At 52.5% G+C, this 16,537-nt stretch overlaps 1 protein-coding gene across 1 annotated transcript in view, besides 3 other annotated features; it reads left to right on the top strand.

Annotated features, from left to right (window-relative positions):
- Positions 10,614-10,763: an enhancer, noted in NCBI's record as "active region_29064". NCBI's record gives its function as "activates an Ori minimal core promoter by ATAC-STARR-seq in GM12878 lymphoblastoid cells {active_cell/tissue: GM12878}" and the evidence as "EXISTENCE:reporter gene assay evidence [ECO:0000049][PMID:35858748]".
- Positions 13,293-14,102: a silencer, noted in NCBI's record as "silent region_20319". NCBI's record gives its function as "represses an Ori minimal core promoter by ATAC-STARR-seq in GM12878 lymphoblastoid cells {active_cell/tissue: GM12878}" and the evidence as "EXISTENCE:reporter gene assay evidence [ECO:0000049][PMID:35858748]".
- EEIG1 (estrogen-induced osteoclastogenesis regulator 1) overlaps positions 13,599-16,537 on the top strand; it is a 40,408-nt gene continuing 37,469 nt past the window's right edge. The window contains exon 1 of the mRNA NM_001035254.3: positions 13,599-14,596. Coding sequence (NP_001030331.1) covers positions 14,451-14,596 — 146 coding nt within the window. The 5' untranslated portion in view covers positions 13,599-14,450. The remainder of the gene's footprint in view (positions 14,597-16,537) is intronic.
- Positions 14,451-14,582: an enhancer, noted in NCBI's record as "conserved acetylation island sequence 15". NCBI's record gives its function as "activates a minimal heat-shock promoter by reporter assays in Jurkat T cells {active_cell/tissue: Jurkat}" and the evidence as "EXISTENCE:reporter gene assay evidence [ECO:0000049][PMID:17135569]".

The raw sequence follows: 16,537 nt of genomic DNA, 5'->3' as shown, positions 1-16,537 counted from the left end.
CCTGAGGTCAGGAGTTCAAGACCAGCCTGGCCAACAAGGCAAAACCCCATCTCTATTAAAAATACAAAAATTGGCCTGGCACGGTGGCTCATACCTGTAATCCCAGCACTTTGGGAGGCTGAGACAGGCAGATCATGAGGTCAGGAGATCAAGACCATCCTGGCTAACATGGTGAAACCCTGTCTCTACTAAAAATACAAAAAATTAGCTGGCATGGTGGCATGCGCCTCTAATCCCAGCTATTTGGGAGGCTGAGGCAAGAGAATTACTTGAACCTGGGAGGCGGAGATTGCAGTGAGCCGAGATCGCGCCACTGCACTCCAGCCTGTGTGACAGAGTGAGACTCCGTCTCAAAAAAATAAATAAAAATAAATTTAAAAATACAAATACAAAAATTAGCTGGTTGTGGCGGCGCACATCTGTAATCCCAGCTACTCGGGAGGCTGAGGCAGGAGAATCTCTTGAACCTGGGAGGCGGAGGTTGCAGTGAGCCAAGATCAGGCCAGTGCACTCCAGCCTGGGTGACAGAGCAAGACTCTTGTCTCAAAAAAAAAAAAAAAAAGAGAGAGAGAGAGAGAAGAATATCTTGATAACACGGTGGTTAAGAGTTCAGGCTCAGGATCCAAACTGTCTGGATTTGAAATCAGCTCCATCATTTACTACCCTCGTCACCCTGAGCATGATGTTGCCTCTTTATGCCTCAGTCTCCTCACCTGTGAAATGGGACATAACTCATGAGATTGTTGTGAGGATTTTAAAAGTTCATATGCAGAAAACCTTAGATTAATGCCAGGGGTGTGTATTAGGTAGGTATTCAGTAACATGTTAGTTGTGATGATGGTGAGTAGGAGGAAGCGGAGGGGACAGTGGCAACAGTATAGTCTGAGAGTGAAGCCACAAGCACCTACGGCTGAGCTCGCTGCCCTCAAGGAGTGCAAAGCCTCCTAATCCCTGCTTTAACACTTACTCCCTGGAAGGGTTAGTGCCAGTTGGATTCGGATGTCCATTAGTTTGCTCATTTATCTAACAATTGCTTCCTGGTCCCTGTAATGTGCCAGGCCCTGGGTTGGGGGCCTTTATTTCTTCAACTGTGAAGTGAGGATGGTGATGGTACCACGGGGAGGATGTGATTGGCATCTGATGAGATCTTAGGAGCACAGCTGGTCTAGGGCACGGCTCCCATAGTGAGATCGACACACAGAAGCTGTTATAGTTGTTTAGAAAAAAAGAATCAGGGCCAGGTGCAGTGGCTCACACCTTGTAATCCCAGCAGTTTGGGAGGCTGAGGCAGGTGGATCACCTGAGGTCAGGAGTTCGAGACCAGCCTGGCCAACATGGTGAAACCCTGTCTCTACTAAATACAAAAATTAGCCAGACATGGTGGTACACTCCTATAATCCCAGCTACTTGGGAGGCTGAGGCAGGAGATTCTCTTGAACCTGGGAGGTGGAGGTTGCAGTGGGCTGAGATGGTGCCATTGCACCCCAGCCTGGGTGACAGAGCCAGACCCTGAGCATCAAGAATCAGGAGCATCAATCCCTGAGCACGAGAATAGTCAACGCTGACTACTCTGCTTTGCGGCTGTATCACTCAAGTGCTAACGTGTAGATTTCTTCCCCTCCCCCCCACCAACAAAACCTCAGGGCTGTTGTTCACGCTTATATCCCCAGTGTCTGCAACAGTGCCTGGCACGGAGTGGGCACTCAGTTTTTGTTGAAGCAAACAAGTACTATTCTAAGTACTTTACAATATCCATTCACTCATGACTCAGAAGAACCCTGTGAGGCTGGTTGTGGTGGCTCATGCCTGTAATCCCAGCACTTTGGGAGGCCGAGGCGAGTGATCAGGAGTTCAAGATCAGCCTGGCCAAGATGGTGAAACCCCCTCTCTACTAAAAATACAAAAATTAGCTGGGCGTGGTGGTGGGTGCTTGTAATCCCAGCTACTAGGGAGGCTGAGGCAGGAGAATTGCTTGAACCCTGGAAGCAGAGGTTGAGGTGAGCCAAGATCACAACACTGCACTCCAGCCTGGGCGACAGAGTGAGACTCCATGTAAAAAAACAACAACAGGCCGGGCGCGGTGGCTCACGCCTATAATCCCAGCACTTTGGGAGGCCAAGACAGGCGGATCACCTGAGATCAGGAGTTCAAGACCACCCTGGCCAAAATGGTGAAACCTTGTCTCTACTAAAAATACAAAAATTAGCCGGGTGTGGTGGCACATGCCTATAATCCCAGGTACTCAGGAGGCTGAGGCAGGAGAATTGCTTGAACCCAGGTGGCAGAGGTTGCAGTGAGCCTCACACCATTGTACTCTAGCCTGGGCAACAGAGCAAGACTCCATCTCAAAAAAAAAATAAAAATAAAAAAGGCCAACATTTGATGAGCAGGGCCAGCTGCCAAGTAATTCAGGAGCCTTTTGTATACATTACTCCTCATGACAGCATGGCCACTAAACCCACTTTTCAGCTGTGAAAACTGAGGCTCAGAGACTTCAAGCAACTGGCTCCAGGTCCCAGAGCTAACAGCTGGAGGAGGCTGGGACGCACACTCTGTTCAGATCTCCAGTCCCTGCTGCTCCGTCTGTCTCCTACTACTCTCCAGTGCCTCACCACTAAATGCCACTACTGATACTTTCACATTGAAAAAAATAGCTGTTGTGGGGTGTGTTGGGGGGAATTAAAAGAAGGAAGTTGGTTAATGGGTACAGAAATACAGTTAGATAGAAGATATAAATTCACCAGGTGCTGTGCCTCATGCCTGTAGTCCCAGTACTTTGGGAGGCCGAGGCAGGTGGATCACTTGAGCTCAAGAGTTCAAGAACAGCCTGGCCAACATGGTGAAACCCTGTCTCTACTAAAAATATAAATATTAGCCAGGCGTGGTGGCATGTGCCTGTAGTCCCATCTACTCAGGAGGCTGAGGCAGGAGAATTGCTTGAGCCTGGGAGGTGGAGGCTTCAGTGAGTCGAGATCATGCCATTGCACTCCAGCCAGGGTGATGGAAGTGAAACCGTGTCTTTAAAAAAAAAAAAAAAAGCAAAAGAAATAAGTTCTAGTATTCAATAGTACAGTAGAGCAACTATGGTTGACATTTATTATATGTTTCAAAATAGCTAGAAGAATTGTAATGTTCTCAACACAAAGAAATGGTAAATGTTTGAGGTGATGGATTTCTCAATTATCCCAATTTGATCAGTACACGGTGTATACATGTATCAAACACCACCTGCTATGATATATCAATAAAAAACAAAACAAAACAATAGCCGTTGCCAACAGTAACGCCAGGGACTATGACTAAGAACTCAGAAAATAAGCAGAGCTCAGCAAAGGCTAAAGGGCTGTGTTGTGAGCAGGTACCTAAGAGGACAGGGAGGTGACCCGGCAACTCCTCTTCTGGGTAAACACAGCCCCGATCACTGGGTGAAAGGTGTGGGACTCCTGCCAGGTTATGTAAGCCCCACACCAGCCTGCCGACTCCTGGCCTGCTGGGTGGGGGCTCTGAGAAGGTGCAGAAGTCCGACTCTAGGTTTGGGGGATCTGCTTTGAGGTACCTAGCACATGGTCAGGCTGCCCAAGAAAGGCCTCAGAAATGCTTCCCTCCACTCCCATTGGGGCCAGCTGGCCCAAGGACACTTCCCAGGAATGAGACTTCTGCTTGCCCTTTGGGAAGCCCCTCAGGCCCCCTTCATGGCTTTGATTGACCGTGCACAGAAGGAATTCAACTAGACTCCATTTCCTGGTGGCTCTGTGGCATGCAATGTTCTCTCATAACATATGTAACTGTGCAGAGAAGGTATCATTATCTCCATTTTACGGGTGAGGACACTGAAAGGTGAAGGGTGAAAGAGGTTCATGACTTGCTTGAAGTGATAGGGCCAAGGTGTGGCAGGGCTGCAGTTTGAACCTAGGGCACTACAGGTGGGAGAAAGTTCCTGGGAACTGTGTGCACTAAAGTATTTTGAAACCTAGGTGGCAGGTGGAGAAAGGAAACGTAAAGGGGGCTAAATTCCTGAATTCCAGGGGGAGACAAAGGCTATGTGGGGAGCTGACCCCTGGAGTAATCACATCATCCTTCAACACCTTCCGTGGCTCCCCATTACCTTCAGGATAAAGGACTAAAGGACACATCCTTTTTTTTTTTTTTTGAGGTGGAGTTTCACTCTTGTTGCCCAGGCTGGAGTGCAATGGTGCAATCTCGGCTCACTGCAACCTCTGCCTCCCAGGTTCAAGTGATTCTCCTGCCTCAGCCTCCCTCCCAAGTAGCTGGGATTACAGGTGTCCACCACCACACCCGGCTAATTTTTTTTTTTTTTTTTTTTTTTATGGAGTCTCACTCTGTCACCCAGGCTGGAGTGCAGTGGCACAATCTCGGCTCAGTGCAACCTCCGGCTCCCAGATTCAAGCGATTCTCCTGCCTCAGCTTCCCAAGCAGCTGGGATTACAGGCACCCGCCACCACCCCCAGCTAATTTTTGTATTTTTAGTAGAGACGGGTTTTCGCCATGTTGGCCAGGCTGGTCTCAAACCCCTGACCTCAGGTGATCCACCCGCCTCGGCCTCCCAAAGTGCTGGGATTACAGGCATGAGCCACCGTGCCCAGCCTTTTTTTTTTTTTAAGAGATGGGATCTCACTTTGTTGCCCAGGTTGGAGTGCAGTGGCTGACTGCAGCCTCAAACTCCTGGGTGCAAGCGATCCTCCTGCTTCAGCCTCTTAAAGCATTGCGATTACAGGCGCAAGCCACCTCACGTGGCCTCAACACCTTCATATGGCCGATAAGCCCCTCTAGTGGAATTGGGCCTGTTTCATTTCCAGCTTTGCTCATGCCTCTGCAGATCATGGGACCCTCTGTCTTCTGCTGCAGGTCGACTCAGACTGTCTTCTCCAGCGGCTCCCTGCTCTCCTGGCTGCTTCTATCCACTCATCAGGCTTGGGCTTACATGTCACTTCCTGAGGGAAGCCTGCCCTGACCACCCACCCCAGGCAGACCTTCTCTGTGTTCCCATTGCTCCCTGAACCCCAGCCCCCACCACCCTAACTAGGTGTATCACAACAGTCATCATTTGGGCCACATCCATGTATCCCTCATTGTAGCCCCAGTCCCAGAGCAGATGGTCGGATAAACACCTGTGAATGAAAAATGAATGAATGAAGTGAGTGAATGAAGTGGCTCAGCAGACCTTAGAAGGCTGGGGTAGGAGGCAGACACAGGGTAAGGCTGGGGAGGCTGCTGGGCTGACCTACATATTGTAGGAACGACAGTAATGCCAGGGCAGGGCCAGCTCTCAGAGGCCAGAACACAGGCTGGAGAGTTTGGACGTTGCCCTGTCAGCGATATGGAGTCCCAGGCTGAGGCCTGCTGGAGCTGGATTAGGAAGGGAAAGCTGGCCTCCCAGCTGAAGGAGGGTAGCTCTGGAGAAAGCCACCCAGGGGTCTCTGTACACAGTGTAAACAGGGCCAACATACTCTCATGTTTCAACCTGGGAATGTGGCCTGATTTTGCGCTGTTGGGTCAAGTACAGGGCCTGGACCTTCACACACAACCCACAAACCAAATTTGTAGAAGAACCTCAGGAAGCAGGGGCTGTTGTGAGCCTCACTGAACAAATGGGGAAACTGAGGCCCAGAGAAATGGAGTGCCTGACCCAAGCCACACAGGGACTCTTCATCCCCTAATAGCAACTAGGTATTGCAGCTTGCTCAGAAATGTAGGCCATCTACACATGTGCTGCCCAATAGTCATTGGCCATGTGTGGCTACTTGAATTTAAAATTCGAATTAAATGAAATTTAGAATTCAGTTTCTCAGTCACACCAGGCACATTTCAAGTGCTCAATAGCCACATGCGGCTACTGGTTATCAAATTGGAGAGTGCAGATATGGGGCATGTCTGTCACTGCAGAAAGTTCTTTGGACAGTGCTGGTCTAGCCCATGGAGGTACACAGGTCTTCCTCCTGACTCTCAATCTAGAATTCTTTCCACTGAAGTAGATTGACTCCTCTCTCTTAGCTGGGGCTTCGTAAGAGGCTTCTATGGGGCAAAAAGACACCATAAACCAAGTCCAGAGTCCGGGAAAGGTGACACACGCCTGTAATCCCAGTACTTTGGGAGGCTGAGGTGGGAGGATTGCTGGAGGCCAGGAGTTTAGACCAGCCCGCGCAATATAATGAGACTCTATCTCTACAAAAAACAAAAAATTAGCTAGGTGTGGTGGCACACACCTGTGGTCATAGCTACTCAGGAGGCTGAGGCAGGTGGATTGCTTGAGCCCAGAAGTTCAAGGTTACAGTGAACTATGATCGCACCACTGGACTCCAGCCTGGGTGACAGAGTAGGACCGTGTCTCTAAAAAATAAAATAAAAAATAAACAAAGCCTAAAGATAACTAAGTGGAAGCAGCCAGGTGCGGTGGCTCATGCCTGTAATCCCAGCACTTTGGGAGGCCGAGGCGGGCAGATCATTTGAGGCCAGGAGTTCAAGACCAGCCTGGCCAACATGGTGAAACCCCATCTCTACTAAAAATACAAAAACTAGCCAGGCGTGGTGGCGGGTGGTACTCATGAGGCTGAGGCAGGAGAATCACTTGAACCCAGGAGGCAGAGGCTGCAGTGAGATCACACCACTGCACTCCAGCCTGGGTAAGAGGAAAACTCCATCTCAAAAAACAAAGATAATAAGTAGAAGCAATACTTTAACATATACAAAGTTGAAGTCCACAATATGTAATAAGCCACTACAAATAAATAACAAAAAGATTATTTCCCAAATTTAAAAATGGACAAACAAAAGATGTGGACAGGCAATTTATAGAAGAAATTAAAATCACCAAAAAATATGAAAAGATGATCATGAAAGAAATGCAAGCACTATAGGATAGCTTTTTTTTCCTCTTTTGGTCAAACAGATTGGTGAAGATGGAGAAAGTGTGGGAATGGCCGCTTTCTTATACTGTTGGTGGGAATATAAATGTGTGTGATCTTTTTGGAAGGCAGTTTGTCAACATCTCTCAATGGTAAATATGCAAATACTCTTTGACTCAGTAATCCCTGGACCGGAACCTAGGGCCGCCTGACTCCACATCTCGTGTTCTGAACCATGACTACCCTCTGTGAGTGATGGTCAGGCTTGGGTTGGAAAGGGCAGAGTTGGCTGATCAACAGGGAAACTTGTGGATTTGACCGTGGGAGGCTTAATCAGGACAGACTGCTGTGGGCGAGTTCTTTGTGGCCTTTATCTTCTTGTGTGACTGGCTCAGATATTAGCAAGGAGCCCAGCACAAATCAATATGCCCTTGGTCAGCTGCTTCGGTGGCTCGCCTGCCATTCCAGTTGTGCAAATAATTGGAGGCCAGTCACCGGTGAATCAGCACTGACCGCCCTTGGCAAGCAGGGCTGGGGAGACAACTTGGCATGGCATGGCTGTGAAGCAGGCACTGTGCTGGGTGTCAGGTGCCTGAGAGAGTGGGCCAGCTGGGTGGCTGCCCTCAAGGTGACTTGGGCAAGTGGTATTCCCTGTCCCTACCTCAGTTTCTCTTTTCTTTCTCTTTCTCTCCTTCTTCTCTCCCTTCTTCCCTCCTGCCCTCCCTCCCTCCCTCCCTCCCTTCCAATGAGAATGAAATATGCACCAGCTATGGTGGAGACAGAAGACAGAAGGCTAAGCCCTCATTTTCTCTGCATACAGATTTTTGGTGACATGAGCACACAGAGCAGGGAGTGGGCAGTGTAACTGATGGGGGGATAGGATGGGCGGGGATGCTGGAGCTAAAGCTAGACATTGAGACATTGAGTAGGTGTCCCCAAGTGGGCAGGAGGGTAAGCCCAGGACCTGTGGGCATCAGGGCTGCAGGGGCCCAAGGGAGGCAGTCAGGGACGGGCTGAGCGGTTGCTTCCAGAGGGTCCTGAATGCCAGGCTAAGAACCTTGGATTTTATCCGGAGAATGATGGGGAAAGGCTTTTGTTTATAACATTCTTATAATTATATATTGTTAAATTATAAAACAAATTCATCTTACAAAAATCAAACAATATCCAAGAATATTCTTTTTTTTTTTTTTTTTTTTTTGAGACAGAATCTTGCTCTGTTGTCCAGGCTGGAGTGCAGTGGCATGATCTACACTCACCGCAACCTCCGCCTCCTGGGTTCCAGCAATTCTCCTCCTCCAGCCTCCCAAGTAGCTGGGATTACAGGCACCTGCCACCATGTCCGGTTAACTTTTGTAGTTTGTTTGTTTTTTGAGACGGAGTCTCGCTCTGTCGCCCAGGCTGGAGTGCAGTGGCGCGATCTTGACTCACTGCAATCTCTGCCTCCCAGATTCAAGCCTTTCTCCTGCCTCAGCCTCCCAGGCACCTGGGATTACAAGCGCCCCCCACCACACCCTGCTAATTTTTGTATTTTTAGTAGAGATGGGGTTTCACCATCTTGGCCAAACTGGTTTTGAACTGCTGACCTCAAGTGATCTACCCACTTTGGCCTCCGAAAGTGCTGGGATTATAGGCGTGAGCCACTGGGCCCAGCCCCTATTTTCTTTTCTTTTTTTTTTTTCAGTAGAGACGGGGTTTCACTATGTTGGTCAGGCTGCTCGAACTCCTGACCTCAAGTGATCCACCTGCCTTGGCCTCCCAAAGTGCTGGGATTAGTGGTGTGAGCTACCATGCCCAGCTCCCTTTCTAAACATACAGATTTTTTCTTTTTTTAAAAAAAAAAAAAAAAAAAGAGGAGGGATCTCACTATGTTGCCTAGGCTGATCTCAAACTCCTGGGCTCAAGCCATCCAGCCATCCTCCTGCCTCAGCGTCCCAAAGTGCTGGGATTACAGGCTGAGTCACCACGCCCAGCCTATATATAGAAATATATATATATATATATATATACACACACACATATGTGTGTGTGTGTGTGTGTGTGTGTGTATATATATATATAATTTAAATATTTGTTTAGAGACGGGGTCTTGCTGTGCTCACCAGAAGAGCCTGGACCTTTTGGGCTCAGGCTATCCACCCACCTCAGCCTCCCGAGTAGCTGGAACCACAGGTGCACACCACCACACCCAGCTAATTTTTAATTTTTTTGTAGAGATGGGGGGGTCTCGCCATGTTGCCCAGGCTGGTCTTGAACTCCTGGGCTCAAGTGATCCACCACCTCGGCCTCCCAAAGTGCTGGGATTACAGGTGTGAGCTACCATGCATTCCTTTGACCACCATTTTTGGAGCATCAGTTACGTGGCAGGCCCAGTACTGGACATGGGGACTCTATAGGAGAGGCATCTGACCCTGTGAAGCTCACGATCTAAAGAGAGACAGAGCTAAGGAAATGGCATCACAAGGTTTGTCCAGGGCCAGATAAGGATAAGGATTCTCTAAGGCCCTCCCACTTTCTCCAGGTGTGATTGTATTCTGGAGCCTGCAGTCACATGGAATTCCTTCATTCCTCTCCACTCCTTCCCCACACCTAAGCCAGTGCTTAGACTCCCTAAACTCCCGACTCCAAGAACCATGGGACACATTCAATCAAAATCAAAATAACTGGGAATATTCAAAAGGCTGTACATCCTTCCTGGGCTCTTGAGCTTTGACCACGACCTTCCATAACTATTATTGCTCAGCAAGTGCTGTCAGTGCTTCCTCTGAAATGGATTCCCTTTCTCTTGCCATCGCTCTGTGTCCACCCTGGTTACCCTGGTCAATCTCCCACTGGGATGGCTGCAATTGCCTCCTCACTGTCTGCCTGCTTCTGTTCTTGCCCCCTGCCAATCAATCCATTCTCAGTAGCCAGAAGGAGTGTTTAAAAATGTTAATTTGGGCCGAGGCAGGCAGATCACCTGAGGTCGGGAGTTTGAGACCAGCCTGACCAACATGGAGAAACCACGTCTCTACTAAAAATACAAAATTAGCCGGGCGTGGTGGCACATGCCTATAATCCCAGCTACTTGGGAGACTGAGGCAGGAGAATCGCTTGAACCTGGGAGGTGGAGGTTGTGGTGAGCCAAGATCAAGCCATTACACTCCAGCCTGGGCAACAAGAGCAAAACTCTGTCTGAAAAAAAAAAAAAAAAAAAAAAAGTTAATTTGGCCAGGCGCATGGTGCATGCCTGCAATCCCAGCACTTTGGGAGGCCAAGCCGGGTGGATCACCTGAGGTCAGGAGTTTGAGTCCCGTCTGACCAACATGGTGAAACCCGTCTCTATTAAATACAAAAAATTAGCCGGGCATGGTGGCGCATGCCTGTAATCTCAGCTACTTGTGAGGCTGAGGCAGGAGAATCGCTTGAACCCGGGAGGCAGAGGTTGCAGTGAGCCGAGATCGCGCCATTGCACTCCAGCCTGTGCAACAAGAGCAAAACTCAGTCTCAAAACACACACACACACACACACACACACAAAATGTTAATTTGCATCTTGTCACCCTTCTGCCTGCTCACATGCTCCAGTGCTGTCCCGTGGGGCTTAGAATAAACTCTAAACACCTGCTAGAGGTTGCAGTGAGCTGAGATCATGCCACTGCACTACAGCCTGGGCAACAGAGTGAGACCGGGACTCAAAACAAAACAAAACAAAACAAAAAACACCTCCTAGGCCCACAAGGGCCCATGTGCACAGGCTCGTCTGCCCCACCGCTCTCTGTCCCCTGTACTCACTCTATTCTAGTCACACGGAGTCCTCCAAACATGTCAGCTCATGCCTCTGTCCCCAGAGCTTCCTGTACCTGGGTCCGCCTTATTACTTAGGTCTTGGCTAAGATGACACCTCATAAAAGCCTTCCTTGACCACCCTATCTGTATCAGGACTTCCAACCCAATCATTCTCTGACCTTTCCCTGGGTTTCCTTCTCCAGACGACTTGCCTTGTGGTCTGGCAAACAATTATCTTGTTTGGTACTAGGTTCCTTATGCGTCTGGTCATGGCCTCGGGGAGGTAGGATAGGCCATGCTTGGGAATTTGGGAGGCTGGGGAAGTGTGGAGCTGCCTATTCCTTTCACAGGCACAGCCTCTTGAAGTCCTCACCACATTCCGGAAAGATGGAAATCCTGATTCCCATTTTACAGGTGAAGAAGCGTGGCTGAGATGGGAAAGTTTACGGTATTCTTCAAGATTCCTTTCTACATATGCAAAGGTGCACCCAAAGCTTGTGTGGCCCCGGTTGTCAATGGCAAAGTAGCCGGATTTTGAACTCAGTTCTGTTGCAAGTGGTCCCAGCCATACCACACCGAACCCCTTACCAATTCAGAGACCTGAACCAAGGCCACACCGCCACCATGCAGCAGAGCCAGGATCCTAACTCAGGCTTGTCTCACCCAAATCTAGCATGCTGTCCTGGCACCATACTCTCCCCCTTCCCCAGGCACCATCAGGGAAATGAGGGAAGGGAAATTTCCTGGGTTCCCAGGCCACAGGCCGCAGAGAGATAAATACCCAACCCCAGCTAAACCTGGCAGTCAGGCCCACCCTGCTTCCTGTTGGGTGGCCCAAGGTTACTCAGGGTCATAGCTGAGGAGCCAGCCAGTCACTGGGATGTCCTTGGCTGGCTCTCCACTCTGAAGTCTCCTCCTGGGGTCAGGTAGCCACAGGCTCTGCCCTTGTGGAGCAGGCCCAGCCAAGATAGTGAGGAGAGCACACCCCACACTGTGTGCAGCACAGTTCAGCACTCTGAGCCTGTGCTTCAGGGGAAAGACCCCAGGCAAGTGTTTTAAATCCTCTAGGCCTTAACTTCCCCGTTTGCCAAAGGGGACACACAGTCACATTGGAAGCTGCTGTTAACACTTTTCTTTAATCTGGTTAACTCTCTGATCTAAATTATGGGACAAACTGGAGAGAAATATGGATCGCCACCCATCTTACAGCTGGGAAGAAGGAAGAAACCAGAGTCCTTGGTCACCACATGTCCAGACCTAACTCATCCCTAAGTCCAGTCAAACCTGTCTCTCAGATGCCTCAGACCTATCCTCTTGCTTTCTCCACAATGCTGAGGTTGCACTGTCATCATCTCTTGCCTGCATCACCAAACAAACTCCTCATCCACCTGTTTCCCAGCTTGTCCCCTTCACACTGCCCACAGCCAGAGCAAGCTTCTTAGGACAAAAAGCAAATCTGGGCCTTGCCTCGTGGCTCACGCCTGTAATCCCAGCACTCTGAGAGGCCGAGGTGGGCGGATCACCTGAGGTCAGGAGTTTGAGACCAGCCTGGCGAACACGGTGAAACCCGGTCTGTACTACAAATACAAAATTAGCCGGGCGTGGCGGCGCGCACCTGTAATCCCAGCTACTTAGGAGGCTGAGGCAGGAGAATCGCTTGAACCCAGGAGGCGGAGGTTGCAGTGAGTGGAAATTGCACCACTGCACTCCAGCCTGGGCAAAAAGAGCGAAACTCCGTCTCAAAAAAAAATAAATAAATAAAAAATAAAGCAAATCTGACCAGGACACTCTCCATCTCAACGCGTGTCCGTGGCTTCCTCCTTACGGTCTTACAAGACTCTGGGAGATCTGGCCTTTCCAGCCCCATCTCTTGCCCCTCTCTCCAACTGCCACAGTACAGCCAGATGTAGTTGCCTGAAACTTTCTGCGGGCACCACGATCTCCAGCCACCAGGTCTCTGGCAGCTCCCTATGCCTGGACCCTGCGTGACTCAGGGCACGCATCCTGTGGATGGCTTGGCTCCCTTTGTTCGAGACTTTCTGAGTCTGCGCCCCAACCCATGTCAGGTGCCTCTTATCCCCTGTTACAACTCTTACCCATAGATTTGTCGCTGCCTGTGTCCCTGTCTGCTTCTCCACCTGGTGGTCTTGAGCTGGGAGCATTTGGGAAGGGCAAGCCCACCAGGTTCTCCACTAGGTCCCAGCCTGGCTTAGTGGAGACTGCCCCTAAACATTTGGGGACTGGATGAATGAACCACAATATGCCGAGGGGCCTGGGAGGTACGAGGCTTTCGAGTGGGTTCTGCCCCCAGAACAGCTAACTAGTCAGTGAGACCAGTCACGCTGGGCAAGAAACTAAAGGACAACAGAAAGCTTAGATAACAGCTTGGAATGTTACAAGCTGGGTCACAAGGCTGCGTGATGGACTGAGCCAGAGCCACCTCCTCGGCGAAGCCTTCCAGACGCTTCTCTGCTCATTGCTGAGGGGCACTAGAGATTCAGGGCGAGCAAGCGACCTGCCAGGGGCTCTCTCTGGGCGCCAGCTTTCTGAGAAAGGAGACTCGCTACCTTCCGGGCCTGCTTCAGGGTTCTACGAGCTCAAGTCTGGCGGGACCCTGGAAGGCCGCTGCAGCCACAAACTGTTTCTCCTTGTCATTGTTTCTTCTTTTCTTCTGCTCGCGCTCTCCCTGCCCCGCCAGCCCTGCGACCTCCCACTGCCTTCCCAGGGCCCCTCTCCCTTCCCTCAGCCCCGCCCCGCCCTAGGAGGCGGGCCCGGCCGCGCGGTGCACCAATCCGAGAGCCCCGAGCCGCCTCTGCCTCCCGCGAGTCCCACCCCACGCCACCGCCCACCAATCGCGCTGCGCGCCCGCCTAGCCGGGCCGCGCAATAGCGGGAGGGCTGAGCCGCCGGCGCCCCGCCCCTGCCGTGCTCGGCGGCGGCTAGGCGGGCGGCCGCGCGGGGCCCAGGCATTCTCCAAGCGGCGCCTCGCAGCATCGGGCTCTGGCTGCAGCGTCGGGGCCGCAGGGGGCGGCGCTGCTGCTCGAAGGGTGCCGGGCGAGGCGGGCGCCACCGGCCGGGCCGAAGGGCGCCTCAGCTCCGCCGGGGCCCGCGGCGCGGGTCCCAGGATCGAGGAGGAGGCGGCGCCTCCGCTGCCCGGGGCCGGCCCGGTGCCTGCCCTGAGGAGGCCCGAGGCCGGACGTTCCCGGCCCGCAGCGACCCCGACGCGCCTCCTGGAGAGGCCCCCGAGCTCCTGGCAGCCCCCTGGGGGTGCCCCACCTTCCCCGGCTTCACCTGCGCTGGCCGCCCGGCACCCAGGTGCGGGGGCGTGAGCGGCGAGGGCACCTCCCCCGGCCGCCAGCGGGGCGGGGGCGGGGCCGCCCTCCGCCCTCAGCCTTACCGGCCAGCCAGCCCGCCCGCCGCCCTCAGTCTCACCGGTCCGCCCGGCCGCGCGGCGTGAGCTCCCCGGACATCGCGTCTCGGGATGCTGCAAGCCAGCGCGGCCGCTCGCGCGCAGCCCCGCACCTCCGCCCCTGCCTCTGCCTCCTGGGCCATGCCCTGCTGTTTACATGCCGGTGAGGTCCCCGGCCGCTCCGAACCCCTCCGAGCCCCGGCTCCCCGAGGGTGAAGCCCGCCGGCCCGCGAACTGGACTGGTGGATCTCTCAGACCTGGGGCCCCGGACTCCGATCTCCGCCGTCTCCGCCACCATCAGGGCGGGATCCGGCTCTGGTGTTTTGAGGAGGGGGTGTGGTGTAGGGAAAGGAATCCCGTCCCTCTCCACCTTTTTTCGCCTTCGGGGCTTCAGACTCAGGGAACTCGCTCATGGCTTTCTTGATGAAGAAGAAGAAATTCAAATTCCAAACTACTTTCACCCTGGAGGAGCTGACTGCGGTTCCCTTCGTGAACGGGGTCCTCTTCTGCAAGGTCCGGCTGCTGGATGGAGGGGATTTTGTCAGCTTGTCGTCAAGGTAGGAGCTGGGGCGGTCGCGCCTGCAGCAGCGGGGGTGATGAGCGAGACCTAGACACTTGGCAAGTGTGGAAGGGCCCCTTGGGGCCGGTGTGAGGAGGATCCGGGGGATTCTGTGTGCCTGGGGCAGGTTGCACAAGGCAGGACTGGGCCTGAGGCAGTTGGCAGGGTGCCAGGCAGCCGCCAGCCAAATACCTGGGGGTCTAGTCTTTCAGCCTTCTCTTGGGGCCCTGCGTGCCGCCTGCAGTAGGTCCATTCTGCAGACTTGCATGTACAGCCTATCAGGGATTTGTACCCTGAGCGATTGTGCAGGGGAGGGGTGTTCAGGCCACCTTGCACCCGAACTGGCCACTGGGGCTGTCATATGATTCAAGAGTCCAGGCCAGCCACGGGTTCCCCGGCACCCCCAGGCGCCTGGGAAGGCCCGATCGCAGGCACTCCCTAGTCTGGCTGGAGGGAGGTGGCTGGATTTTGGCCTACCCAGCCCCCTCCGAGTGACTATCCTCCTCTGGCTGGAGCTGGGCTGCTTTGCATTGCAAATACCCTTGTCGAGGAGGCTGCTGCCCTCTCTGAAAGAGGCTCCGTTGAGTTTGGTTTTGTGTTGTTCGTCCCCATCCTGGCAGGTCCAGCTGCCCAGCTTGTTGCTGAATGCAACTGAGTTCCCAGGCTGTCCCTTGCCAATTGGGCCCAGCTGGGGTCACATCATCCTGGCCTGTCTCCGAAGAGCCTTGGACTTCTACAGATGGGAGTGTGACTCTTGACTCTGTTACTTTCTGGGCCTCCTCTTCTGGAAAGTGAGCCTAATACAGGTGGAGAAGCTGCAGCAGCGAGAACTTAGGGCAGGCTGGATGCTGTGGCTTACTCCTGTAATCCCAGCACTTTGGGAGGCCTACGTGGAAGACTTGCTTGAGGCCAGGAGTTCAAGACCAGCGTGGACGACTTAGATTCCTGTCTCTATTTTTTTTTCTTTTTTGGGGGGACGCGATTTAACTCTGTTGCCCAGGCTGGAGTGCAGTGACACAAGCATGGCTCACTGCAACCTCTACCTCCCGGGTTCAATCAATTCTCATATCTCAGTCTCCTGAATAGCTGGGATTACAGGTGCCAACCACCACACCCAGCTAATTTTTTTTAAATTTTAATTTTGTTTATTTTTTAGATGGAGTCTCACTCTGTTGCCTAGGCTGGAATGCAGTGGCGTGATCTTGGGTCACTGCAACCTCCACCTCCTGGGTTCAAGCGATCCTCCTGCCTCAGCGTCCTCAGTAGCTGAGATTACAGGCGCACGCTACCACGATAATTTTTTTGTATTTTTAGTAGAAATGGGGTTTTACCATGTTGGCGAGGCTGGTCTCGAACTCCTGACTGCAAATGATCCACCCCGCACCCCGCCCCCTGGCCTTCTAGAGTGCTGGGATTACAAGTGTGAGCCACTGCACCCGGCCTCTCTCTTTTTAAAAAATAAAAATGAAATAAAATAGTATGCGGGCAGGGCCTGGCCGAGTGCCTGGGACACGCTGCTTCCCTACCTGGTCTGCCCTTTGCTCCCTGGGCCTCCTTGTGGGCCCTGTTAGCCAGAGCTGCCTCCCTGTTCTGAGAGCCCATGTGTGCGTGTTATAGGCGGAGAAACTGAGGCCCAGAAAGAGGAAGTCAGTGGCTTGCCAGGGACCTCGAAGGAGTCTGTTATTAACTGAACTTCGCTGGTTTGGGGGCCTGCTGGCTGAATCCAGAGGTCAAACACTCTGCTGGGAGGAGGGGAAGGGAGGGGAACTGCACAGCCAGGCTCAGATTTAGGAATCTCCGGTGTGGACAGGGTGGGGTGCTTTTTCTGAGCACTGGCTCCCTGTTCTGTTGGGAGCTGCTTATCTGAGGAATTTGGACAAGGGCTGCCCCTTGTGGTGGGGGTGGCTGGCCTCCTTGGTTGCCTGGGAAGCCTGTGATC

Source organism: Homo sapiens, chromosome 9 (genome assembly GCF_000001405.40).
Source record: "Homo sapiens chromosome 9, GRCh38.p14 Primary Assembly".
Lineage (NCBI taxonomy): Eukaryota > Metazoa > Chordata > Mammalia > Primates > Hominidae > Homo > Homo sapiens.
This window is presented reverse-complemented; position numbering and strand designations above follow the sequence as displayed.